This window comes from Homo sapiens, chromosome 6 (assembly GCF_000001405.40).
Source record: "Homo sapiens chromosome 6, GRCh38.p14 Primary Assembly".
Lineage (NCBI taxonomy): Eukaryota > Metazoa > Chordata > Mammalia > Primates > Hominidae > Homo > Homo sapiens.
The window spans coordinates 135515581-135540247 of record NC_000006.12 but is presented as its reverse complement, the minus strand read 5'-3'; the positions used below and the strand labels follow the sequence as shown (position 1 = coordinate 135540247).

At 37.7% G+C, this 24667-nt stretch overlaps 1 long non-coding RNA gene across 5 annotated transcripts in view; it reads right to left on the bottom strand.

Annotated features, from left to right (window-relative positions):
• Window positions 1-24667, bottom strand: part of AHI1-DT (AHI1 divergent transcript) — a 218255-nt gene that overhangs the window by 175808 nt on the left and 17780 nt on the right. For 2 of the 5 annotated variants that reach the window (NR_152845.1, NR_152843.1), the window contains one exon: window positions 21418-21655. The exons of the other annotated variants lie outside the window; for them this stretch is intronic. This is a non-coding gene — a long non-coding RNA (AHI1 divergent transcript). The remainder of the gene's footprint in view (window positions 1-21417; window positions 21656-24667) is intronic. 5 annotated transcript variants of the gene reach the window in all.

The following is a 24667-nucleotide window of genomic DNA, read 5'->3' as shown; positions in this document are numbered from 1 at the left end:
AACTTCTGTGAGTGTGGCTAAGGCATTACTTGGGGTGATGGCAATGTGCAGACAGGATTGAGTGAAAACTCCATTCTTAGCCATCAAAACTAATGTCTTTATTCCTTAAGTGGAAACCATCCTCATTCAAGAAAATACTGGAAGAGAACAAAGCTAACTTTATCCGTGAACCTAATTCTACACAAAACTGATCCCAGACAAGGTGTGATGGTTAATATTGAGTGTCAACTTGATTGGATTGAGGGATGCAAAGTATTGTTCCCGGGTGTGTCTGTGAGGTTGTTGCCAAAGGAGATTAACATTTGAGTCAGTGGACTGGGAAAGGCAGACCCACCCTCAATCTGGGTGGGCACAATCTAATCAGCTGCCAGTGCAGCTAGAATAAAAGCAGACAGAAGAACGTGAAGAGACTAGACTGGCCTAGCCTCCCAGCCTCCATCTTTCTTCTGTGCTGGATGCTTCCTGCCCTCAAATATCAGAGTCAAATTTCTTCAGCTTTGGGATTTGGACTGGCTTTCTTGCGCCTCAGTTTTCAGACAGCCTGTTGTGGGACCTCACCCTGTGATTGTGTGAGTTAATACTCCTTAATAAACTCCCCTGTATGTATATACATCTATCCTATTCGTTCTGTCCCTCTAGAGAACCCTAATACACAAGGTCAGTTCTCCTAGCGGGAATGGGAGCTTTTGGACACCAAATTTTCCTTTGACATGTGGAGGTACTATTTCCCTTTGCTTTTGCTCTGTAACACCAAAGCTAAGGCAAAACACAATCCAGCATCCCAACTCCCCCATCCCCTAAAAACTGATTCAATCCCTCTACCTGCTTCTTGACAAACAGCCTTGATGGCTTTGCATGTGTAATTCTCTCTTCTTGGAATAATAACTTCCCTGCATCCCACCTCAATTCATTCCCATCTCCATCTGACTGACTTTTGCTCAAGGTAACAAACCTTGATTATGAGATATGACCACCACCTATTTACTCCATAGCATCTCCCACTTCTTCCTATTATAGCACCTATCACACTGTATTATACTGTTTTTCATCAAGTCTATGCCACCATCAATTATAAAACACACTATTAGTTTATGTAACATCAAGGAACAAAAAAAGCTGCCAGTAAAATTATTACACAGCCTTATCACTTAGAATTTTTATTTTATATGTATTGAAAGGGTTCTTTTAGTGTGATTCTGAGACATATCAAAGAGCCCATGGTTTGTTAGCATTTTTTATTCAATAAACTGATCGTTTTCATTTTTCTTCAATCAAAATACATGTCACACGAAGTTAGGCAACTGCTGTTCAAACTCAGCAGGAAGTTTCTGATATTGAAGTTTGACACCTTAATGATAGTCCTGCATGAGTGAATTGGTCACATCAACTCCTTGTTGTTTTGAAATTTCTTTCATCTCTTCAAAGGCAATTTTTCCTGACTTTCATTGAATTGCTTGGCATGTGACATAATTATTTATCAGACTTTTATGTCATATGAACCATTTACGGACTTTAAAATGAAGATTCTGATTTTGTAAGTCTGGTGTGGCGCCTGAGATGCTCCAAATCTAACAACTTCTCAGGTAATGTTGATGCAGAGACTGTACCTGATCCAGAGACCACACTTGGTTGTAGCAAGGTGATAGACAATCCTTTGACACATAGCATAGTCACCACATTTTACACAACTTATTCAACATGTATTTTCCTTTCTTAGAACCCATAATTATTATTTTATTATGGGTTTGCAAGAAAATAAGAAATGAGAATCATCCTTCCAATGGTAAATATTTACCTCAGTGACATTAAATATACATCCCACTGCACTGTTTCTAGCCCTTCTTGCACATACCACAATTTTTTTTCTAATACTGAATTATAAGGTAACATTTAAAGCATTTTAAATGGCAATTCACTCAACTCATGCATTATCAACAGTGCACATACCTCAATGAAGGGAAGACAAGATCAACAGCTATGACCAAGTTTGCACCCACACAAACCAAGACTGCTTATGACAGCAGCCTAGACATGGCATTTGCAAGATACCATCAATTGTAAGATGCAACCTGATTTCCAAGAGGTAAGACAGCTGGGGGTGGGGGTGCTATGCATGCCTTAGTACTGATGCAATACTGTAGTTGTCTGTGTTCTTATCTCTTTTCTTCAACTGTATTGTGAGTTACCTGAGTGCATGGACTAGAAAAGCCTTTGTCCTAAATACAGAACACAGTGTCAGGCACAAGGTAAGTATGTGGGTTGCAAATGCCAGCTTAATACTCTTCTGACAATGTAGTTTCAGCTGGACTAAAAGTCGGTGACTCACACTTATTCATAACCCATACATATTTGAAATGTTCTCTGGTTGTGCCTACCCAGGGCTTAATGTGAGTAAACGGGAAAACCAATGTGCCTTGTCAGCTAACACAAGCCCAGAGTAGTGGAGTAGGTGGTGGTGGTATTTTAAAAAGACTCATTGTATGATTCTTTGAGATTCTGATTACTATCATTTGCCTTTTGATGCATTGTGACTGGTCTATTCCTACCCTCCTGGCTAGCCTGTTTCATTTTTCCTTCTTTATTGCGATATGGCTCAAGTCAAGTAGAAATTCATTATCTGTATATTATTATTCATTTGGGCCTTCAAGTTCATGAGCATCTCTGATAAAAAGTATATGAGTCTCCTACCTCCAAAAAGACATGAGGAAAGAATTATGTTAGCATTTTACAAAAGCACTTCATGAAATAGTGTGTTCATTAACATAGAGGTTGTAAATATAAAAAATTATTGCTGAGGAAATAATGCAAAAATCTCAGTAACTGTAAACAACTAAATTTTAATTATCTGATATTTAACTCCCAAATCGTAACAGGACAGCTATTCAAATAAGAAAAGCCCTCCACTTAAAGTTATCTCATTAAAATAGAAATGGGCTTTTATAGTCCAAAAGCATAAGAATTTAAGGAAAGTCATTACATTTTAGGACTAGAAGGGATGATTCCAAAATCATCTTGTATAAATCCTTCATGTTCATAGGGTTGAGATCTTTCCAGGTTTTTCCATCCGTATAATTAAAATGTTATTTATAATTTTAACACTCTATATTCATATGAAAACATAAAATTGTTCAAATGCTTGATTCACAATAACACTTCTCTCTTTATATATGATTAAATCACAATATTTTAAGTTAAATATTCCCCGTAGAGAAGGGAAGTGGAAAGATCATTAGAGAAGTCTTTGCCTATAACCTCTGCCCTATGTAATAGAACCTATTAAAAATGTAACATGTGACCCTTGCTAAGAAAATATATAGCCAATAATCTTACTAGTCAAGAATGCTAAAAGTGGCATTGTTTCTTCTGAGATTTGAGAGATGGAGAAATCAAGGTAAGATTCCCTTTTTATATTCAGGCAATATTTTTCTAAGGGGAAGAGAAAATTCTTCTAAGGATGGGCGAAAATATTCTCAAATTTTAAGCCGATTTTTCTCTAAAACACAATTTTAAATGTCTTGTTAAAAAATATTTATGTTTTCTGTGGAGAAAATAGAGATTGTTTCTAAAATATCAGCTTTGTTTTAAACCAAATTCTTTACAGGAATCTGCCTGCTTGAGTCTAAAAATCCTCCAAAGAAATAGATGTAGCAGCAATTTTCCATTAATGAGGGTACCTCTAGCATTTATTTATTAGATCTTCTCTAAGGAGATATTTACTGAGTGCAGGCCTCTTTTAGATGTCTATTCTATCATTCTGGTATGTGCAGAAAACTGGAATGTCAACCCAGGGCCTGAAAAGTGGTAATGTGCCTTTAAAGGGGTCTACATTACAGCTAAAAGAGTTTAGTTATTGAGGTCAGAAGGTGCCTGGTTGTATTTCCTTTTCAAGTATAAATTGTGGTAAGAAATGCTCTGAAGTTCACGTGATGGATTTGAGCAACCCTAGATGGCTACAAACTTCCATAAGTAAGCTGCCTTGCCCATGACTAAGCCCTAATTCTTGACTACCTTCATGTCAAGTTGGAACAGACTGGGAAATAGAAAACCGGGAAACAGAAAATTTTTTGCAATTCCTTTGCAGGAAGGAGAAAAAGTCAGAAAAATCACACATCAAAAAAACCGGAGCTTTAGCGACCTCTTGTGGGATAATTTACTAGCAGCCCATAATAAAACACTTGCAGATTGAAATCTGAGACAGGTTTTCATTGCAGGTGCAGTACTCCTCTGGTGGGCCTACTGAGAGCCAATGGATTGTTACAACCTAGAAATGCTTATACATACATACAGTTATCAATAAAGTGTTGGCCAGATGTGGTGGCTCATGCCTGCAATCGCAGCACTTTAGGAGGCAGAGGCGGGCAGATGGCTTGAGCTCAGAAGTTCAAGATCAGCCTGGGCAAGGTGAAACCCTGTCTCTACTAAAATACAAAAATTAGCACGGTATGGTGGCATACACCTGTAGTCCCAGCTACTTGGGAGGCTGAAGAAAGGGGATCACTTCATCCTGGGGGATAGAGGCTGCCGTGAGCTGTGATCCTGCCACTGCACTCAAGGCTTGGCGACAGTGAGACCTGGTCTCAAAAAATAAATAAATAAAAAATAAATAAAGCATTAATAGTTGCACTGGACTATATGTTCAAGAGAGCCTACCTATATAATAAACACACATCAGAAGTGATTTAAATGAAGAATTAAATATATTAAGACATTTAGAGCCTTTTATCCATAGGATAAGAAGGAACCTTCCAACCACTCATCATATATTTAATGGTCCTCTGCAAGGAATCGAATCACAGGGGAATTTGGGAAGAAATTATGGATTAATCCTACCTAAACTACAGGCATAATGTAAGTGACTCAATAAATGACTTAATGGAAAATAAAAAAAAATCATCTTCATACTTAATAGTTAACATTAATATTGTTAGAGCTATAATGAATAATAAATTGGGACATCTTCTAGCTAGATTCCTAATATATTTACGGTTAATAGGATGAAGAACAAGGGCAGAATTTTTGGCCAAATGGACCAGGGTCCTCGCCACAGTGGTTTAGTGGTTGATGAGTCTACATACCTCAAGAATGACAACTGACTGAGGAGATAAAGTCATTGTGTCATACTTGGAAAAATATTTGAATAAATACTAGAGGAAAAAATAGGGCTGTATTTCACTATCAGATGAGAGGTAAAGTAGTGAGAAGATAATTGAATTATAGCATCAAGCAATCAGATCTACGGTTATAGTGGTTTAAGCATAGTCACTTGGACTTTCATAATGGACATTTCCTCAGAATGTCTTTACTTTCCATATACTCTGGAAGATCATTTTTCATAATTCCAAAGACATGTTCCTCTCAACAGTGTTTTCTTAATAAACAAATTTGTCTGTAATTCTTGTTTAGGAAATCTAATATATAACTAAAGTTCAGATAATTAATTCATTCCTCTTTGTTATTTTTTCTCCTTGAAATCCAGTTATGTAATCAGTCTCATGATTGTGAGTGTATTAGGCTAAAATCCGAAATTTGAGTATTTTAGGAGATAGGCAAATAGACATAAAGGCAATTGAATACACATTGCAAGGCTACAAACCAGGTTATCTAATAATATAGCTCTGTAGATAAATTTTCTTTTGCTTATAGTTGATTCTAAAGTAGATTATTTAAGAGATTGTGCCTTGATTGTAAGTCATAAAATAATATTTTCTGTGTTATAAGAATGGGAAGCTAGGGTCTGGTAATAAATTATGGCTAGGTTTTATAATTAAGATGTCAGAAGAATAATTTGGTAAGTCAGTAATTGCTTTTCTCTTGCTTGGAGCATTTATCTTGGTTTATATATTTTTAATATTCTGATACTGATGCTCATAAATCATTTAAAATAATTTAAAATTTTTAATTATGTAAACTTCCAAAATTAAAAAAAATCAGTAGATTTTACTGCCCAAACCTAATTATATTCATATTTGCATACTACCTTATACCTATTTTTTTTTTATTAGCCCTTATCCAAAGATAGTCTTACATTTTCTTAGCTATAATTATGGAATTAGATGCATGCCACATTGGGCACTTTATTTCTATTTCCTACAGTCTTCATAAGCCTTACTGTAGAGATAAATAATATTTTATTTATCATATTGGTATAACATCACTCATCATTTACTTTATGATCTCATAAGTTATTTGTAATTATTTGCTATTGAATATAATGTTGCAATAAACATCTCCATATAAAAGTTTTAGAGGGGCTTTATTGTTACCAATAATTTGTTCCAAATCTCTTTGAAATAGTGTAAGAGCTGTCAGCGTCACAGCAAAAAAAAGAGATGGCACACTCTGAAGGGTTTTGTCTATTATGATTTCATTTAATAAATGTTCCTAAGGTTTCTAATGTATCCCCAATAGTACTGTACTATTTACACCAGCAAATACTAAATTACTATCTATGTATTTAAGCAGGTATGACCTCCTATTACAATACAGAGACTTCTGTTACCCTTGGTTTCTGGAAAGTAAAAACTCTTAAATCCTGTTTCACACAATATCGCTGGGCCTCAGCAAGTCTCACTCAGGACTCATGGGGGCCCCTTCATTCCTGAACTCAGAGACCTTAACATGCCAAAAAGTCCTGCCCTTCTCAGCAGTTGTCAAATTATGAGAAAGGTTCAAGCCCCAGTGGCATTCATGTTTAACCTCCACACATTTTCTAGGTCCTTTTAATCTCTTTTAGTCTGCACAACTACCCTGTGAGAAATGCATTGCTATCCCTTGAATAGTGCGATATTAAAAATTAGATGTTAAGTAGTTCTCTCGAGGTCACAGCTATGAAGTGGCACAGTCAGGATGTAACCCAAGATCTTTCTCTTTAAAAAGTCATGTTCCTTACACCACTTCACCCTGCTGTGTAACACAGATGTCTAGTAAATCAGCATAAAATGTGTGAAGTTCCAACACAGTGCTGGTATGCATTAGGTGTTCCCCAAATAATTACTTGCCATGATGTTTGTTTTTCTCCAATATGGAATTAACTTTGGTTATATATTCCATTTAACTCTATTCTGTTTAGTTTAACATTTGTTGAATGCCTATGGTGTGCTGGGTAGTATCCCAGGTACCAAGGCTGTAGAATGAGTGAGGCAAGGTGTTGGCCACTGAGGTGCTTCTGGCTACATCTGGGCAACAGGACTGCAATCAATGTGGTAACTGTTGTGAAGAGAAGCATGGGGCACCTGGCAGTGGGCAGCACCTAGCAGTGGGCAGGTGAAGGTATACCCATTAAGGATTCAATCAGGGGAGTGATGTTATGGGATTTGCCTCTTCTTCTTCTTCTTCTTTCTTCTTCTTTTCTTCTTCTTTCTTCTTCTTTCTTCTTCTTCTTCTTCCTCTACCTCTTCTTCCTCTTCTTCTTCCTCGTCTTCCTCTTCCTCTTTTCCTCCTCTTCCTCTTCCTCCTCTTCCTCCTCCTCTTCCTCTTCCTCCTCCTCTTCCTCTTCCTCCTCTTCCTCTTCTTTTTCCTCTTCTTCCTCCTCTTCCTCTTCTTCCTCCTCTTCCTCTTCTTTCTTCTGCTGCTGCTTCTTCTGCTTCTGCTTCTTCTGCTGCTGCTTCTGCTTCTTCTGCTTCTTGTCCTTCTTCTTCATCTTCTCCTTCTCCTTTTTTTTTGTCATCCCTCTGCTACAGGAGGATGTGCCCTTTAAATGGACAGCCATGATGGAAGAAGGAGGATGGACTGTGAGTGCAAAGCCAGAAAAGATGAGGCAGACAAAGGAGGCCAAAACAATAATCAACATGAGTGAAGATGAATGCCTGAACTAGAGGAGTAACAGCAAAGCTAAAAAGTAGGAGGAAAAGCAGAGGAGCAATATTTAGAAGTGAAATCAGCAAGATGTAGTGACTAAATGAGGTGAGCATGAGGGAAGGCATTTCAAGTGACTCCAAGCGGTCTGGCTTTGGTTTCTAATGCATGCTGGCACCATCATGTGAGGAAGTATGTAGAGTGGCAGGGGAACCTGGTGTAGAAAATTTTCAGTAATTGGAGTATGTTTATTTCACTAAGTTATGGTCCTTCCAATTGGAAGCCTAAGTTGCTGAGCAGATCTGAGGCGTCAACTTATAGGTGATAATACATACTGTGAAATTAAATGAGAACCACATCCTGTCTGCCCCTATCTGAAGAAGCATATGCAGAGTAATAAGAGCAATGGGCTGAAAAAAGACCTCCAAGAGTACCAGCATTTTGAATTATGCAAAGAAAAAAGATAGAAAAAGGGGACAAGGAAGCAATAGGCAGAGAGTTTCGATGACAGAAGAGGGCATTAATGAAATAAAGAGGTGGTTTCAAGAAATGGGTTAGTATGCTAAATAAAATAAATGGATTTAAAAATAGTAAGATCAATTATGGTTAGCCAGATATTGTCAGCGCAGAGGATAGAGGAGGAAGCCCGATTTTAATAGGTGAATGAATGGGGAATTCAAGAAGTGGTGGTGGTCAAGTGCAGACTATTCTTTCTGAAAACAGCTGATAAAGGTTAGCTGATACAGACATGGCTAACATTAAAGGGGCACACAAATTCAAAGATTTTTTAAATGGGAGTTCCATAAGCCTTAAGAAAAGACAGATGAAGAGAAGCAGAAAAGTTGAAGGCATATAAGAAAATTGGAGAACAGACAGAATAGTATCCTAATCAAGATCCTAACTGGAAGGCCTGGCCTTGGGAAGAAGGCAAGAGAGCTTCCACTGAGATTGGTGGGAGAGAGTCAAGGATGATTCTGGTTCAAAATTTGAGGGAAGGTATGGGTGTTTGAAAGTTTTCATTCTTCAACATCTCAATATTGTCAGTAGAATAAAAGGCCAAGGCACCAAGAAAAAGTTAAAAAGGATCTTAAGGGGGAATGGCAGGAATCTAAAGAAGTTCTTGGGAAGGGTGGCAAGAATTACTAACCAAGAACAAAGCATAGGACAGTCAAGCATTGATTAGACTCCAGCTAAGTTAAATATTATATTGGCCCCTAGCAAATACCAAGTGACCTTTTTCTGAGACTGTTCAACAGCCAAGGTATATGCATAGGAAAGTCCAAGGTTTCAGAGATTTGGGGATGTTGGTACAAAAAAGTGGTTCCATCAATAAGTTATAGGGTTCAAGCTGGGGAGGGATATAAACAAGAACAATGTGGTAGATAAACTGGGGTAACAGAGCCATGAGATAAGAGATGTCTGTGGTGTCAGAGAGACATCTATGGAGAGTAAGGTCTGAGGAGAGAGCTGGAAGTAAGAGGGCAGGACAATTGTAGGGAATAACAAAGTTCAGAGTATATCCACAGTTGCCAGTATTTTGTGGGGTGACAAAGGTATGTGAAAATCACTGGAGTTGGAGAGGTGGAAGAACCTTTGAAGTCAGGGAAGATAATAACAGGATTTAGCAGAGGATGAAATTGTGACCCAGGTGTCAGAGTCTTGAATGGAGAAAGTGAGTGACCTAGAAGAATTGTTTTCCAAGGAGAACCAAGCATCTGTCATTACCAGGTAGTCAATGGAGCCCTCTTTTAATACACACAGGATGTGCCATGGGCTTCCAAGTTGCGGCTAAAATATTTGGGGCAGTGGAGGGAGTACCATTCGTGTTGATCCAGAGAAGACAGAAAACCATAAGAGTAAGAGAGAATAATGTTTCAGAGGGATTTCTATTTTAGCCCATTATCCTAAGTGACCAGAATGGAAGGTCATTGAAATTAGTCTAAAAATTTTTTAAGGGATCTTTAGTATTAGATTTCAACACATGAACATTTGACTTGGAATGATCTAATTCATATCCACCAGGGAAGTCTGGAATGGCTCAGGCAAAGCTTGCCTTGGATTTTAGATTGGTAGAAATTACAATTTCACTATACTCCAGCCACATCATCCATCTTTACCTTCAAACTGGCCAAGTTCATGTCCTCCTCACCCGTCTAGTCTCAGCTGAAGTTTAACTTTGTGGTAGGGCTTTTTTCAACTACCTACACTAAAGTGGAAGCCACTGCTGTCATTCTGAATCTCACTACTGTTTTCTATTTTCTCAATCACCTCTGTTACTTCTTTGCTGTTTTCTTGCACTTGGATTTCACTTCATTCTACTCAATAAATATTTATTGAATGAATGTTTGTACTCTTTGGCAGCAAAAATATACCAAGGGATTTACAGACCATTTTGTTTATTTCAGAATAGCCGTTGACTTTACGTGGCCAAATCATTAATAATAGAGTTAATCTAACATATTAGACGTTTAAGTACAATAAGCAAAAACAAGTGAGTCAATCACGTTGACCCTATTTAACCCTTAAAAAGTAAAAAAAAAAAAATTATTGCTATATATCATAGTGCTATTATTACTACATTTTTATTAAATGTGAGCACCAAACATTTATAGGTCTCTACTGTGCCCAAGGCAAGTAATGGAACATAAAGATTAAAAAAAGATGGTCTTTCCTATCAATGAAGAGTTAACAGGGAAGATGAGACATACTTGTACAAGAAAGATATAACTAAAATGATACTGAAGCAGAAGTTAAGTTAGATTACCCAGTTCAGGTCCCCGGTTCCCCACCTGGTAGCTGTTCGTCCTTAAGCATGATACTTTTCCTTGAAGCATCAGCTTCAGCAACATTTAAATAAGACTAATAATGATACATATTTCATAGGGTTCATGTGAAAATTAAATGACACTTAAAAAAAATGAAGTGCTTAGCAAAATACCAAACATATAACAAATATTCACGGAATGCCGACTGTTAGTGCTTATGGTCCAACTAAAGGATTCTTTGATTTAATTAACTGTTATGAAGGTCTCTTTATAACTTGTAAAGTTATAAAGTTATAAGTTTGTAAACTTGAAAAAATATTTTCTGGGATTACCTCTGATCATTACAACTCATTCCTATTTAACTAATTAGTTGCATTGGACAAATAGTAATGTACATCTAAACATCATGATATACGCCTCAACAAATAAGAAAATTATTATTCATAAAATAACATTACTGAATAAAAAGTGATGAATATGGGAATGAGCAGCCCTCTGAACTAACTTCTCATCAGCCTAACTATCAGGAAAGTAGGGCTTTTAATGAAAATGGAGAATTGTTAATAAAACTGAGAACTTTTACTAATCTGTGGAAATTTAACCATAAGTTTTAACCACGAGAGTTAAGCTCACTTATCTGCAGAAATATCTATCGTGTAATATTAGTTACACTTACTTGCTCCTGGCACTATTCAAAAACAAATGCTTTCCTCTACAAGGTAATTATCATTTGATCTATAAAATATGGACTTTAGCCATAAATATCTGGGTCAGAAAGTCTTCTAAAGCAAAATACTGTAGGAAATATGTTGGAATTATGTCAGAATTATCTAAAACTTGGATCATTTATTAGTTACTTGAGCAAGATTTCTTCCTGGAAAGTTATAGCCATATAGATTTTTATGTTCACAGATGTAACATTTGAAGTGTAAGATCAAAAGATTGGTATTTCTAAGTCAAACATGATCATACAGATATGTAAAATCACCAAAGAGATTTATCTGGTACATTCCACATTTCAGTCTGTTTTCTTACTAACACATATTTGAAAAATAAAACCCAAAAAGTCCTAGTTGTTCAAGCATGTGATTAAAATTCAACATTAAACACTTTCTGAAAGAAATCTGATAGTGACACTGTTGGCCTGGTAATCTTATCCTATATACACATGACATGAGAAAAATTACCCCTGTGTTTATCTTCATTATAGTGAGGACATTAGAAAATGTAAATGTATGTTGTAACTACTAAAACTCTGGAACAACACATGTAATCTGAAAAGTCAAAGCTGATTTATTCCAGGCACCATTTAACAGAAATGACACATCAAAAAGTAATACAATATTATGAGATTTTTATTGCAAATAAGGTTCAAATATATTTTCAAAGGGAAGAGTTAGAAAAGTGAACATCTTTAAATGTCTTCAAGATTAATGGTAAGACATTCTGAATTGGCCATGTTACAGAATAGTGGAGGAATTATATAACTTACTTACAGTCTGCACATACAGATGCTATGGGTTTTAGAGACAGTTTTCATGTTGGCTATTTATTTAGACAGTGTTATATTCCCACAATAATAATGTTTTATTTCATCATCCTGTTTGAACCAGGTTTAAGCATGCAGCTGCAGCATGTTGAATTTTTAAGAAGCAAAGTCAGTCCAGTTTCATGAGTTTGGGCTTTTTATTCCATATTTGAATTTATTTTTCCTGGAAAGGAAAAATAGTTATAGCAGCACCTGGTATAGTTCCATGAACATAGTGGAGGCTTAATAAATATTTATCACTGTTGAAGTTAGAAGAAACACTGATTTGCACGCTGCATGATGTTGAATTAGGACCATATTGCTGCAAAAAGCATAAACATTGGGTGCGGCATCTGAATCTTAGACAATTTTTGAAAATGACTATTTTGCAGGAGGCCTAATCTGCCACAGAAAAAAATAAAATGTTACTTATAACTATTATTGAGATGCATTAAAATCTAAAGAACTGTTTAGAAAATCAGACTCTACAGAATGCTGGAAAGTGTTACTTTTTTGTATTGCGATCTGATTGGCCTTGGCAGGAGAGCCAGAAGAGAACCCCAGCTGTAGATCTGTAGGAGAGAGAGAAGTAAGCCAAGACTGGTGGGGATAGGGGAGGTCTGAGGTATATGACTATAAGCTCCCCCAAGTCTCAGCATCTAACAGGACATACCAAACCTGAATCCAAACCAGATTAATGGTGACAGTCACCATCTCAAGCCAGGTGGGAGCATGGCACCAGGAACTGGTTATGTGGGAAATGTTATTATCCAACAGATGACAGTTTTATGTTCGGAATGGGAGAGGTTGTCTGGGTTGTAATAGGGCCTTAGCCAGTGGGCTGCAGAGGGGAGAAAATTGGGATAGGATCCAGATCCCCCAGAGAGAAGAGGTTGGCAAGACTAGTCAATTCGTAGGCCCAGACAATTTGGCTGGAGTTCAGGGCTAGAATCCGTTACCAGCAAAGAATAAAGTGCAAACAAAGAACAGAGGCAAGAATCTAGAAACACAGTGAGGTTAGGGTTGGGATTGAGGGGCTTACTATTTATTGGTGGCCACATAAATGTTTACATAGGGCTCCCTCAATAGCAGGCTTAGGGCGATGGATGAACTCCAGACTCTGATTGATAGAAATGGACCTCCTAACATCCCGTCAAGCCTAGGTCTCATTTGAGTAACAACTTGATGGTGCTGTGTTGTAGGTTGACATTATGTAGTATTGGCTGCTGGGCATGGCTATGCAAGAGTGGTCAGTTTGGGGCACTATTTTTTTATTCTGTAATAAGCTTAAATAAACCCAAAACTATATTAAAATTGACCATTTGTTTATATGCTAGATGTCAGCCCCACAAGGGGAATTTTTTCTTTTTTTTTTCATTGACATATAACATGTACCTAGCTGACATATAGTTAGTATTTAACAGGTGTTTGTTGAATTGAAAATGAATTAATCAAATATATTCTAAACATTACCAAAGGGTTTGCAAAATTTGGATGTGATCCCCTAATTACACTGTATTTTAGTTTCTTTAATCACAATGATACTGCAATTCCAGATCAACAAAAGACAGAAACTGATCAAAGCGTTTTCCATACCTTTATTCCACTAAAACAGAAGATAAATATTATTTTATTTATCAAGAAACCAAAAGTAGGGGGTTTTGACGATTGGTTAACTTTATGTGTCAAGTTGACTGAACCATGGCATACCCAGATAGTTGATCAAACATTATACTGGATGAGTTTAACGTTGAAATTGATAGACTGAGCAAAGCACACTGCCCTTTCTAATGTTGTGGGCCTCATCAAAACAATTGATAGCCTAAATAGAACAAAAAGGCTGACAGTCTCATAAATAAGAGGGAATTCCTCCTGCCTAAATGCCTTCAAGTTGGGACATTGGGTTTTTTTTTCCCGCCTTTGAACTTTAATCAGCTTTTCCTGGTTCTTGGGCCTGCTAGCCGTTAGACTACACCGTCAGTTCTCCTGAGTCTCCAGCTTGCCAACTGCAGATATTGGAATTTGTCAGCCTCTGTAACTGCATGAGCTAATTCCTTATTATATACTTATATATACATTCTATTGGTTCTGTTCCTCTGGAGAATCCTTACTAATACAGGGAGTTGCAGCCCTGGTTAATTCAGTAGCTCAACAGCATCAAGGACAAGATTCTTGCCATTTTCTTATTCTGCTGTCTTTAGCATCTTGGCTTGCTGACTTACACTGGTTCTCCTCATGGCCTAAGTGCCTGTAGTAGCTCTAGGCATCACTTCCTCCGCCACACACATAAAGAGTCAGAATAAAGTTACTGTTTCTTCAAATATGTTTCTGTTTAAGAGCAGCCTTTCTGAAGCAACTCCAGGCTGGCTTCCCCTTATCTTTCATTGACCAGAAAGATCACATGACTCTTGTTAAACCAGTCTCTGAAAAGCAGAATAGAATCACCATGATTGGCTAAGAGTAACTAAATTTATCCCCTTGAACAAGGGATCTGATTCACTTTCCCTGAGCCAATGGCCACTAGCAGGTGAACAAGTGAACATGTTTTAACAGCCTGAAAGAAGAGGGAAATGGGCTTGAAAGAAAATACCTTCTTGCTATTCCTACCCTGCATTTAGCCCTCCATTTGAATGAGGCAGGAATCTTGAATTTTCCTAATGGTCCTGAGCCCCAAAACTGACTTTCCCAATAAGTGATGAGGAGGTTTAGGAACTTAGAGTCCACAACCAGGATCTCTACTTGCAGTTTCAGAACTGAAACACTCACTACATGTCTTAGGCCATTCCTGCTACTGCAACAAAATACTTTACACTGGGTAATTTATAAATAACAGAAAATTATTGCTTACAGTTTTAGAGGCTGGAAGGTCCAAGATCAAGGTCCCAGGAGACTGTGTCTGGTGAGGGTCTGTCTCTGCTTCCAAGATTATACCTGGTTGCTGCATCCTAACATGGAGGACTGGATGAACTCTGTTTCCCCATATGGTGGAAGGGATGAAGGAGATGAAAGGGGAAGCAGATCTCTGAAGTCTCTTGTGTAAGGGCATTAATTCCATTCACAAACCTGGAGCCCCCATGACCTAATCACCTCCCAGAGTCCCCACCTCCTAATACCATCACCTTGGTGATTAGGTTTCAACATATGAATTTTGGAGGGACACGTACACTCAAACTATAGCACTCCCCCAGTACTCATCTGATTCCCTTCTTGGGAATTGACCACAGTTGAAGAAAGGGCCCTCATTCATCAAGTTGCAGTTGGGTAGGGTTGGGAGACTGGTCTGTGCAGGAGCATAAAGGCACAGCCCCCTTTGCCTCTCAAAGCTGGGGTCATCCCAGCCCCAGTCTTCCCCATAGGATTAGTTGAGGTGTTTATTATGGCAGCGTTGTTATTCATTCTCTCCCTCCACCCAATTCTGTATTTTTTTACTCCGCTCTATCCCCATCTGTTCACTCCCACCCCAAGGATGGATCCCAAGAGCCTTCCTAAATAAATCTCCATATTCAAACCTTCTCCTTAGAGCCTGTTTTCTTGGAAATCCAACCTGAACAGGGGCAGACCACAGAGGGGCCTGACCTGCAGTTTATGTGACTATCAGGTAACTGCTCCCCTAGATGGAGACCACGATCTGACCCCTTCTCCAGGGCAGAAATTGTGGCCTGTGGTGAAATATATTACAAATTCTACTTGCTTTAATTGGTGTATAAAAGTTCAAATTTAGGCCCAAATTTCTCCCTAATCTAGCTACAGATCTATAGAGATATATATATATATATATATATATATATATATATATATATCAAAAAAGGACATGTAACAGATTTCTAAATAAAAGCTTCAAGCAAATAATTTGCAAATGTTATTATTCTCCCTTTGTGCTAATCTTTTATAAAAAGGCATAGCCACCTTTGCATAAGTCACTTTAAAAACAATAAAAAAATACCGGGCGCGGTGGCTCACGCTTGTAATCCCAGCACTTTGGGAGTCCAAGGCGGGCGGATCATGAGGTCAGGAGATCGAGACCATCCTGGCTAACATGGTGAAACCCCATCTTTACTAAAAATACAAAAAATTAGCCGGGTGTGGTAGCAGGCGCCTGTAGTCCCAACTACTTGGGAGGCTGAGGCAGGAGAATGGCGTGAACCCGGGAGGCGGAGCTTGCAGTGAGCGGAGATCGTGCCACTGCACTCCAGCCTGGGCAACAGAGCGAGACTCTGTCTCAAAATAATAATAATAATAATAATAAAATAAAAAATAGATTAGATCCATCTGCTACCTCATGAAGGAAAAATTATTACTAGGCAATGTCTAGGATCTTAGGACTCACTTGGAGATTTTTCAGAGGATATCCCATAAATAACATCTATAATATGCAAGGCACAGTCTTGGAAATACAAAAATGAAAAAGGCATATTGCCTTAAGAAGTTTATACTCTAGTGGAGCAGACAGAGAAGTGAAAGGTGTAGCATGATAAATGCATGAGAGAGAAGGGTATTTTGAGGGGACCCAGCAAGTCACCTAATTCAGCCTAGGTAATAGAGAAGGTTTACCAGAAGTAAGGCAGTAGCGCACTTAGCAGAATTTATACTTTCAAGGAAGAGGAGAGTTCCCGGGAGAGAGAAAAACATATGCACAGGCCCAGAGATAAGAGATAAGGCCCAGGACTTATTCTAGAAACTGAAAGTATTACCATTATATTGCAACACTTAAACAGTGCCTGACAATGTTGAATGCTTAGTCAATATTTGCTAAGTAGATAAACAAATGAAGTAATTGCATCATTTGACACATCTAGTATAAGGCAGGACAGCCGTGAGAGATGATGTTGGAAAGATTACATAGGAATTAGGTCATGAAGCGTCTTCCTAATATGTCAAGTTAAAGGGTTCCTTATTCTGAAACATGAGAAATTTAAAAATTTAAGTATGGTGGCCATGAACAGAGTTGCTGACAACCATGCACACTACAGATTACAGAGGCATGATTGAGGGCAGGGAGTCTAGTAGGAGATCATCACAGTAATCCAGGGAAGACATACACTGTCGTGAAGGCTTGAGAAAGCGCAACAGAGATCAAGAAATAATAAAGATCAATGCATTCTGGAGATATTTAGAAAGCACTATGAACAAGACTTGGATAACAGTTTGGATTTGCATCCTTGGTGAGAAACAGACACCATTTGCTTTAAAAAATCTTGGGAATTTCATTGGACATTTTGTATCCACCATGCAGTGTGAGTTATCAGTTGTCAAGATGCTTTTAGGTGCCTTAACTGAACTTACCTCTGCAAGAAACTTTTTCACAAAGTTATTATAACCCCCAATATTGCTACATCTCCTTTGGTTTTCTTTGTTTTCCAATTTCTTTTGTTTCCTTGGTAACGCATGTAGTAAGGTAAAAGAAAAAAATGCTTCTAATGTCTATATTGTTCAGGGCTGTTGTTTCATTATGTGATACTTCAAAAAATAGCCTTTCACATCAAATATTAAATTATTCAGAAGAAATAAAAGGTTAACATTACCAATGAGGAAACATATTCTGTACCCTTTCCAATCTATATTCCTCAAGGGGAGGTGTAGCTGGACCAAAGTAGAGATACTTATAGATCTTCATCGTGCTCCTAAGAGTGACAGGCTGGGATATACAGAAGCAACAGCAAGGCCAGGCTGGCCACTCAATGTTTCACCTCCTTGTGAGGAGATTATTTCAGAAAGCAAAGAGATCAGGGGAGGGGAAAGATTAAAAGCTTTATTCTTGGCCAGGCGTGGGGGCTCACGCCTGTAATCCCAGCACTTTGTTGGCCTCCAAAGAAGTGATAAATTGGGAAGCTGAAGGGGGTGGATCACGAGGTCAGGAGTTCGAGACCAACCTGACCAACATGGTGAAATCTCGTCTCTACTAACTATACAAAAAATTAGCCAGGCGTGGTGACATGCGCCTGTAATCCCAGCTACTCAGGAGGCTGAGGCAGGAGAATCACTTGAACCCAGGAGGCAGAGGTTGCAGTGAGCCGAGATTGTGCCACTGCACTCCAGCCTGGGTGACAGAGCAAGACTCTGTCTCCAAAAAAAAAAAGCGTTATTCTCTTCCAAATTTACCGCAGTTGTTCTGTTTCAATATGAGATCTTCTTATGATTAACATCAGCCCTCTATACTCAGTCTCAGGAATCTGCAAACTTAGTTTTTTGATACTCCTATACAGTGCCATTCATCAATAAGTTTGGAATGGGGGCAGGAGATAATTTCAAAAACAGTATAATATTATCTAGGAGAATACAGCATCATTACATTATTCACATAAATTATCCACTTTTCTCACAGATGGGTTCACATTAAAATGAATGGTAATAGGAGGAATAAAAAAATTCAATCCAAGGCAAATCTTTTATCTGTTAATATTTTCAACCCCTTTTATTTAAAATGTTAATTCTAATTTGTGAAAAAATTTGTATTAAATGAAGTTGAAACATGTGGCATAGAAGGCATCAGGTGACGTCATCAAGCAGATGTGTGCTACATCTATGAAAAGCAGTCAGATCTATCCAGCAGCAGCTGACTGGACTCTATGGCATTTCTTCCAAGTGCCCTGTTTCCTGTGGTCTTGTCTGCCTTGCTGATTTTTATTATTTGAGCCCAGTGTCTTTTCTATTTGGCCCTTGGCAGTGCTTCTTCAATAGCATAGTAATTGCCCCTGAATCCACCACACTGACACTCTCCCCTTACATTATATTTAAGGGCACCACAAGACCTCCAGGATTGACTGCTACACATCTTGGGCCTGATATTGGTATAGCCCGTGCAGTACATGATACTAGGATCCATCAATGGCCATGGAAAATACACACAACAAGATTGGGCATGCAATCTAAGACTGGATTGGGGTGATGGTTATGTAATGTATAAACGTACTAAAAATCATTGAACTATACACTTAGAATTGGTGACTCTTGTAATATGTAAGTTTTACCTTAGTAAAGATTAAAATAAAAAGATTCATCAGGCAGTAGAAGTAGGTAGGACAAGTTTAGACTGACATTGATATACCCCTAAGTATAAATCAATACAGGGGGTTCTATCATCATGACAGGAGCTGACCACACAGAATCAATTTGTTGGGAAGAAAGCACGAAGCCTGTTACATCAGTTCCCAGTCTTGGGAAGAGTAGAAACTATTTAACCCAATAAAAGATAATGTTTTTGTTAGTGTTGGTGATTCATCATAGTTGACACTAAGATTCCAAGACCGGGTCCCAGCTGCTGAGAGAGCACTGCAACAAGGAATTTACATTTGTCAATTTGGGTTTTAAAATGTAAACCAACCCTATCTAATTTAAGGGCACAAAAAATAATTTATTGGAAAGGTATGGAGTCTTTCACAGAACTAAATAAAAAGCTAAACAATCAAGCATTAAGTAGAATACTACAGGAAACAGGACGACCCCAATAATCTGGTATTCAGGACTAATGAATAGTCTCTTTAAAGAGCTGCCAGCACACGCTAACCATCACTAACCATCTTAAACAGTTAATTACCATGTTCTGGGCTAGGTTCTATATTTAAGAAATCCCATTTCTTAAACAGTTAAGATGGTTAGTGATGGTTACTGTGATGGCAGCTCCCTAAAGATGGTTAACCATCACTAACATCTTAACTGTTGAAGACCATTTCAGATTTAGTTTGCAGAGAAATAATGGATTGTTCTTGCTTAGGCCAAGTGTCAATGCCTTGGGTAGGGCTCTTTCACTGACATCCCCTGTAAGACCACATGCAATGGAAGAGGGTGAGGGGATTATTTTTCATATTAAAATGAACGTATTTTTACCAAACTAGAGGAAAGGGATGCTGGGCAGAAAACACACACACACACACACACACACACACACACACACACACGTCCACTATGCTATTATCAATGCAGGCAATTTGAAGTTCTTTTTCTAGTTAGTGTGTCCATTAAAGGCAGGAACTTGGCAACTAAGCTAAGATTGGGAGAATTTCTGTAGTTTTACAGAAAAGAGGCTAGAAAGAACACAACAGGGGCTCAATTCTATAAGAGGTCTGAGATTACTAAAATAAATAAATAAATAAATTACAAGAGATTGGAGATAAAACAGAAGTTTAGCTTTATCAACAGGGTAAATAAGGCTTAAAGGAGGGAGATTCAGATGCGAGAAACACAAGTGGGAAAAAAGGAGTAGCTATAACTCATAGAACAAAGCCCAGAACATGATAATTATTCTGGGACAGCAAGGGCACCCTAGGAATATTGAACCAGTGGTCAGCCCAAGAGTACCTTCTTCTGTTCTCTCTTGTTATTCTCTGCCATCCCACCCAAGTCTCACAGTTGGTCTAGGTCAGTTTAATCAAATCTTAATTTTGTTAGAATTAGCTCAGTACTTAGATATCAGCATTTATTAGCAAACCCAGTTGTGGTTTCTCCCCAAAATATTTTGAATTTTTCCAAGAAATCCCATTTCTTAAAATTTTGAGAACTGCTGATTAAAATAAAAACCTAGTGGGAGGGAGGCTTTGTGTTTCTATGGCTTTGATGTTTTCTGAGTGGTATAGAAAGAATGAAAGTCAGTTAAGGTATACAGTAATTAGTTAGTGCCTACTCTGTGCAGAGTGCTGTGACAAATACTGAAAATACAAAGATGGACAGTGCTATGCTTTGAATGTTTTTGTTCCCTCCAAAACTCACATTAAAACCTAATCCCTAATGCAACAGTGTTGGGAGGTGGAGCCTAATGGAAGGTGTTTGGGTCATGGGGACTCTGCCTTCATGAATGAATTAATGCCACTATAAAAAAGACTTTGGAGAATGGGTTCACTCTCTTCTGCTCTTCTGGCATGGATACAGAGTTTAAGGTGCCATCTTGGAAATGAAGACCAGGTCCTTACCAGACACCAAACCTGCTGTCACCTTGACCTTGGACTTTCCAGCCTCCAGAACCATGAGAAATAAATTTCTGTTTGTTATAAATTATCCAGTCTCAGATATTCTGTTACAACAGCACAAAACAACTAAGACAGATACCCATCAGCAGTGTCCTTAAGGTGCTTATCATAAAAAAGGGATATAAAATACCAGCATTCATTGTATATATAAATGTATTGTGGCATGTGTGTTCAAAGGCCATTAGAGCATAGCATAAGTATTAATACCTAGTCTACCCTGGGGAATCGAGAATTGAATCTCCTTCAAAGGAGAAATGGTATTTACAAGGAGACTTGAAGGAGAAATAGGATTTTGGCAAGTGGACAAGGAAATATGCATGATTATGAGAGCATATGGCATAACTCTCCTTTAAATATGAGAGAAACTTACGTCTTGGAGGAGCTTCATAAAGTACAGTGTTTCTGGGGAGGAAATGGAAGAGGAATGATGAGGCTGGAAGGCTGACTGTAGATCACATGTATCTGGTCATTGAGGCAAGTCATTAAAGAATTCTGAGCAGGAAAGTAACATGATAAAGAGCCTTGGAAAGCCATGAGAAAGATAAAGAAGGGTGAGACCTTCTGTTTCCAGGGACTTCTGCATCATCCAGGTAAGGCATGATGAGTGGCTGTGGAGAGAATGGAATGGATATCTAGTTGATAAAATGTACAGCAATTAATATAACAGTTAACGTTCGTAACATCTATCTGTCAGGCATTGACACTGTGCAGTGACTAGGAATCCAGGCTCTGAATCCAACTGCCTGAGTTCAAACATTATGTCTCCATCCATTACTAGCTATCATGGGCAACTTGCTCAGTTTCCCTGTATCTCAGTTTTCTTATCTATAATTAGAACCTACTTCATGGGACAGTAAGGATTATTCAGTATTCCCACAAAATACATGATCTTGTTCTTTTTTATGACTGCATAATATTTGTTTATATGTATGCACCATATTTTCTTTATCCAGTCTACCACTGATGGGCATTTAGGTTGATTCCATGTCTTTGCTATTGTGAATAGTGCTGCAATAAACATTTGCATGCATGTGTCTTTATGGCAGAATAATTTATATTCCTCTGGGTAGATATTCAATAATGGGATCCCTGGGCACAATGGTAGTTCTGCTTTTAGGATTTTGAGGAATCGCCATACTGGTTTCCACAATCATTGAACTAATTTACACGCTCACCAAGTGTATAAGTGTTCCCTTTCCTCCACAACCTTGCCAGCATCTTTTTATTTTTATTTTTTAGTAATAGCCATTCTGACTGGTATGAGATGATATTGTGGTTTTCATTTGCACTTCTCTAATGATCGGTGATATCAAGCTTTTTTCATATGCTTGTTGGCCGCAAGTATGTCTTCTTTTTCAAAGTATCTGGTCATGTCCTTTGCTCACTTTTTAATAGGGTTGTTTTTCTCTTGTAATTTTGTTTAAGTTCCTTATAGATGCTGGATATTAGACCTTTGTAATATGCATAGTTTGCAAATATTTTCTCCCATTCTGTAGGTTGTCTGTTCACTCTGCTGATAGTTTTTTTTTTTTTTTTTTTTGGCTGTGCAGAATCTCTTAAGCTTAACTAGATCCTATTTGTCAATTTTTGCTTGTGTTGCAATTGCTTTTGGTGTCTTCATGAAATTTTTGCTTGTTGCTCTGACCAGAGTGGTATTGCTTAGGATATCTTCCAGGGTTTTTATAGTTTTGAGTTTTACATTTAAGTATTTGATTCATCATGGGCTGAGTTTTTTACATGGTGTAAAGCAGGGGTCCAGTTTCAATCTTCTGTATATGGCTAGCCAGTTATCACAGCACCATTTACTGAAGAGGGAGCTTTTTCCCCATTGCTAGTTTTTGTCAGCTTTGTCAAAGATCATGTGGTTGTAGGTGTCTGGCATTATTTCTGGGCTCTCTATTCTGTTCCATTGGTCTATGTGTCTCCTTTTGTAAAAAAGTACCATGCTGTTTTGGTTACCGTAGTCCTGTAGTATAGTTTGAAGTCAAATACTGGGATGTCTCCAGCTTTGTTCTTTTTGCTTAGGGTTACCTTGGCTATTCAGACTCTTTTTTGGTTCCATATGAATTTTAAAATAGTTCTTTCTAGTTCTGTGAAAAATGTCATTGGTAGTTTGATAGAAATAACATTCAATCTGTAAATTGCTTTGGGCAGTATGGCCATTTTAATGATATTGATTCTTCCTATCCATAAGCATGTAATGTTTTTCCATTTGTCTGTGTCATCTCTGATTTCTTTGAGAAGTGTTTTGTGGCTCTCACTGTAGAGATTTTCCATCTCCCTGGTTAGCTGCATTCCTTTATATCAACAACAGCCAAGCCTAGAGACAAATCAGAGAGGCAATCCCATTCACAATTGCCACAAAAACAGATAAAATATCTAGAAATAAGGCTAACAAGGGAAGTGAAAGGTCAAGTTTATTGGGAACATAAATTCTTGAGTCAGAGTAGTGAGAGCTGATATATAAAGTAATGGATAGAGCCAAAGGCCTTTTTAAGGAAGAATTTATAGTACTTGGTAATAGATAAACTATAGAAGGTAAATAAAAGATGAGAAGTAAACATGACTAAAAGATTTTGAATTTAGAGTGCAAAGTACGAGAAATACCAAACCTAAGGGGCAAAGATGTTTTTAGGGCATTGAATTAAGATTTTTTGATGGGTTGAATTTTGGGTAATGATGTAACGTTTAAGTGGAAATATCTAGTTGGCTGCTGGATATTAAAAGTTTTTAGAGTTGTTAAGTATCTTAGGAATTACCATAGTCCAATTGCCTTATTGCCTTAGCAAGAAAACTGAGATCTAGAAGGATAAATAATTTATCCACTATAACACAAGTAATTAATATAGAACAAAAACTCAAGCTTTTTTGCACCCAATCTAGTGCTCTTTTGACTATATTGTACTGCCTTCTCTAACTGCTTGGTTAGAGCAGAAGCAATGACAAAATTATAACTATGGGAGAAAACTGTAGTGGTAAAATATATTCGAGTCATGAGATCTGTGAGGTAGAAAGTTTGGAGCATAAACAGCAAGCAATTTTCAATTTACATGCCAGCTCCAATAAATTGTTATGCCTCCTTAATATTGTATAGAAAATAATTTTGAACCTATATCCAGGCTTACCGAAAATGAATTATATAACCAATTAGTAATCACGGACAAGAGCAAGTTGGAGAAGTGGGTAGCATATATGCCACCTATTCCTATCACTGGTCAGAAAGTTGCAACCAGAAACATGGGAAAGAAGAGAACGTATTTGTAAAGATAACAGACAGCCAAATGTCATAATGGTCAGCCTTGCATACATTAATGACATTTTCTTTCTATTATTTTTTTCCTATCTTAAATGGAAGGTGTCAGATAAACTGCCGAATACTTACTGTTACCCTGGAAACATGAAGGACTTGAATATTTGTGGAATCATGACAGAACAGGTTGAAAAATATTAAGAGGCGAGAGCTAGAGAGAGAGAGAGAGAGCAAGAGAGAGGAGAGATACATAAACTGCTAATTAAATTAAGCTCTTTTACATAACCTAACTTATTTGTTCTGTACTTTCCCAGACTTTAGCTTAATTTGATTTTATTCAGAGATTACCTAGTAAAAATTCTTTTGAAAT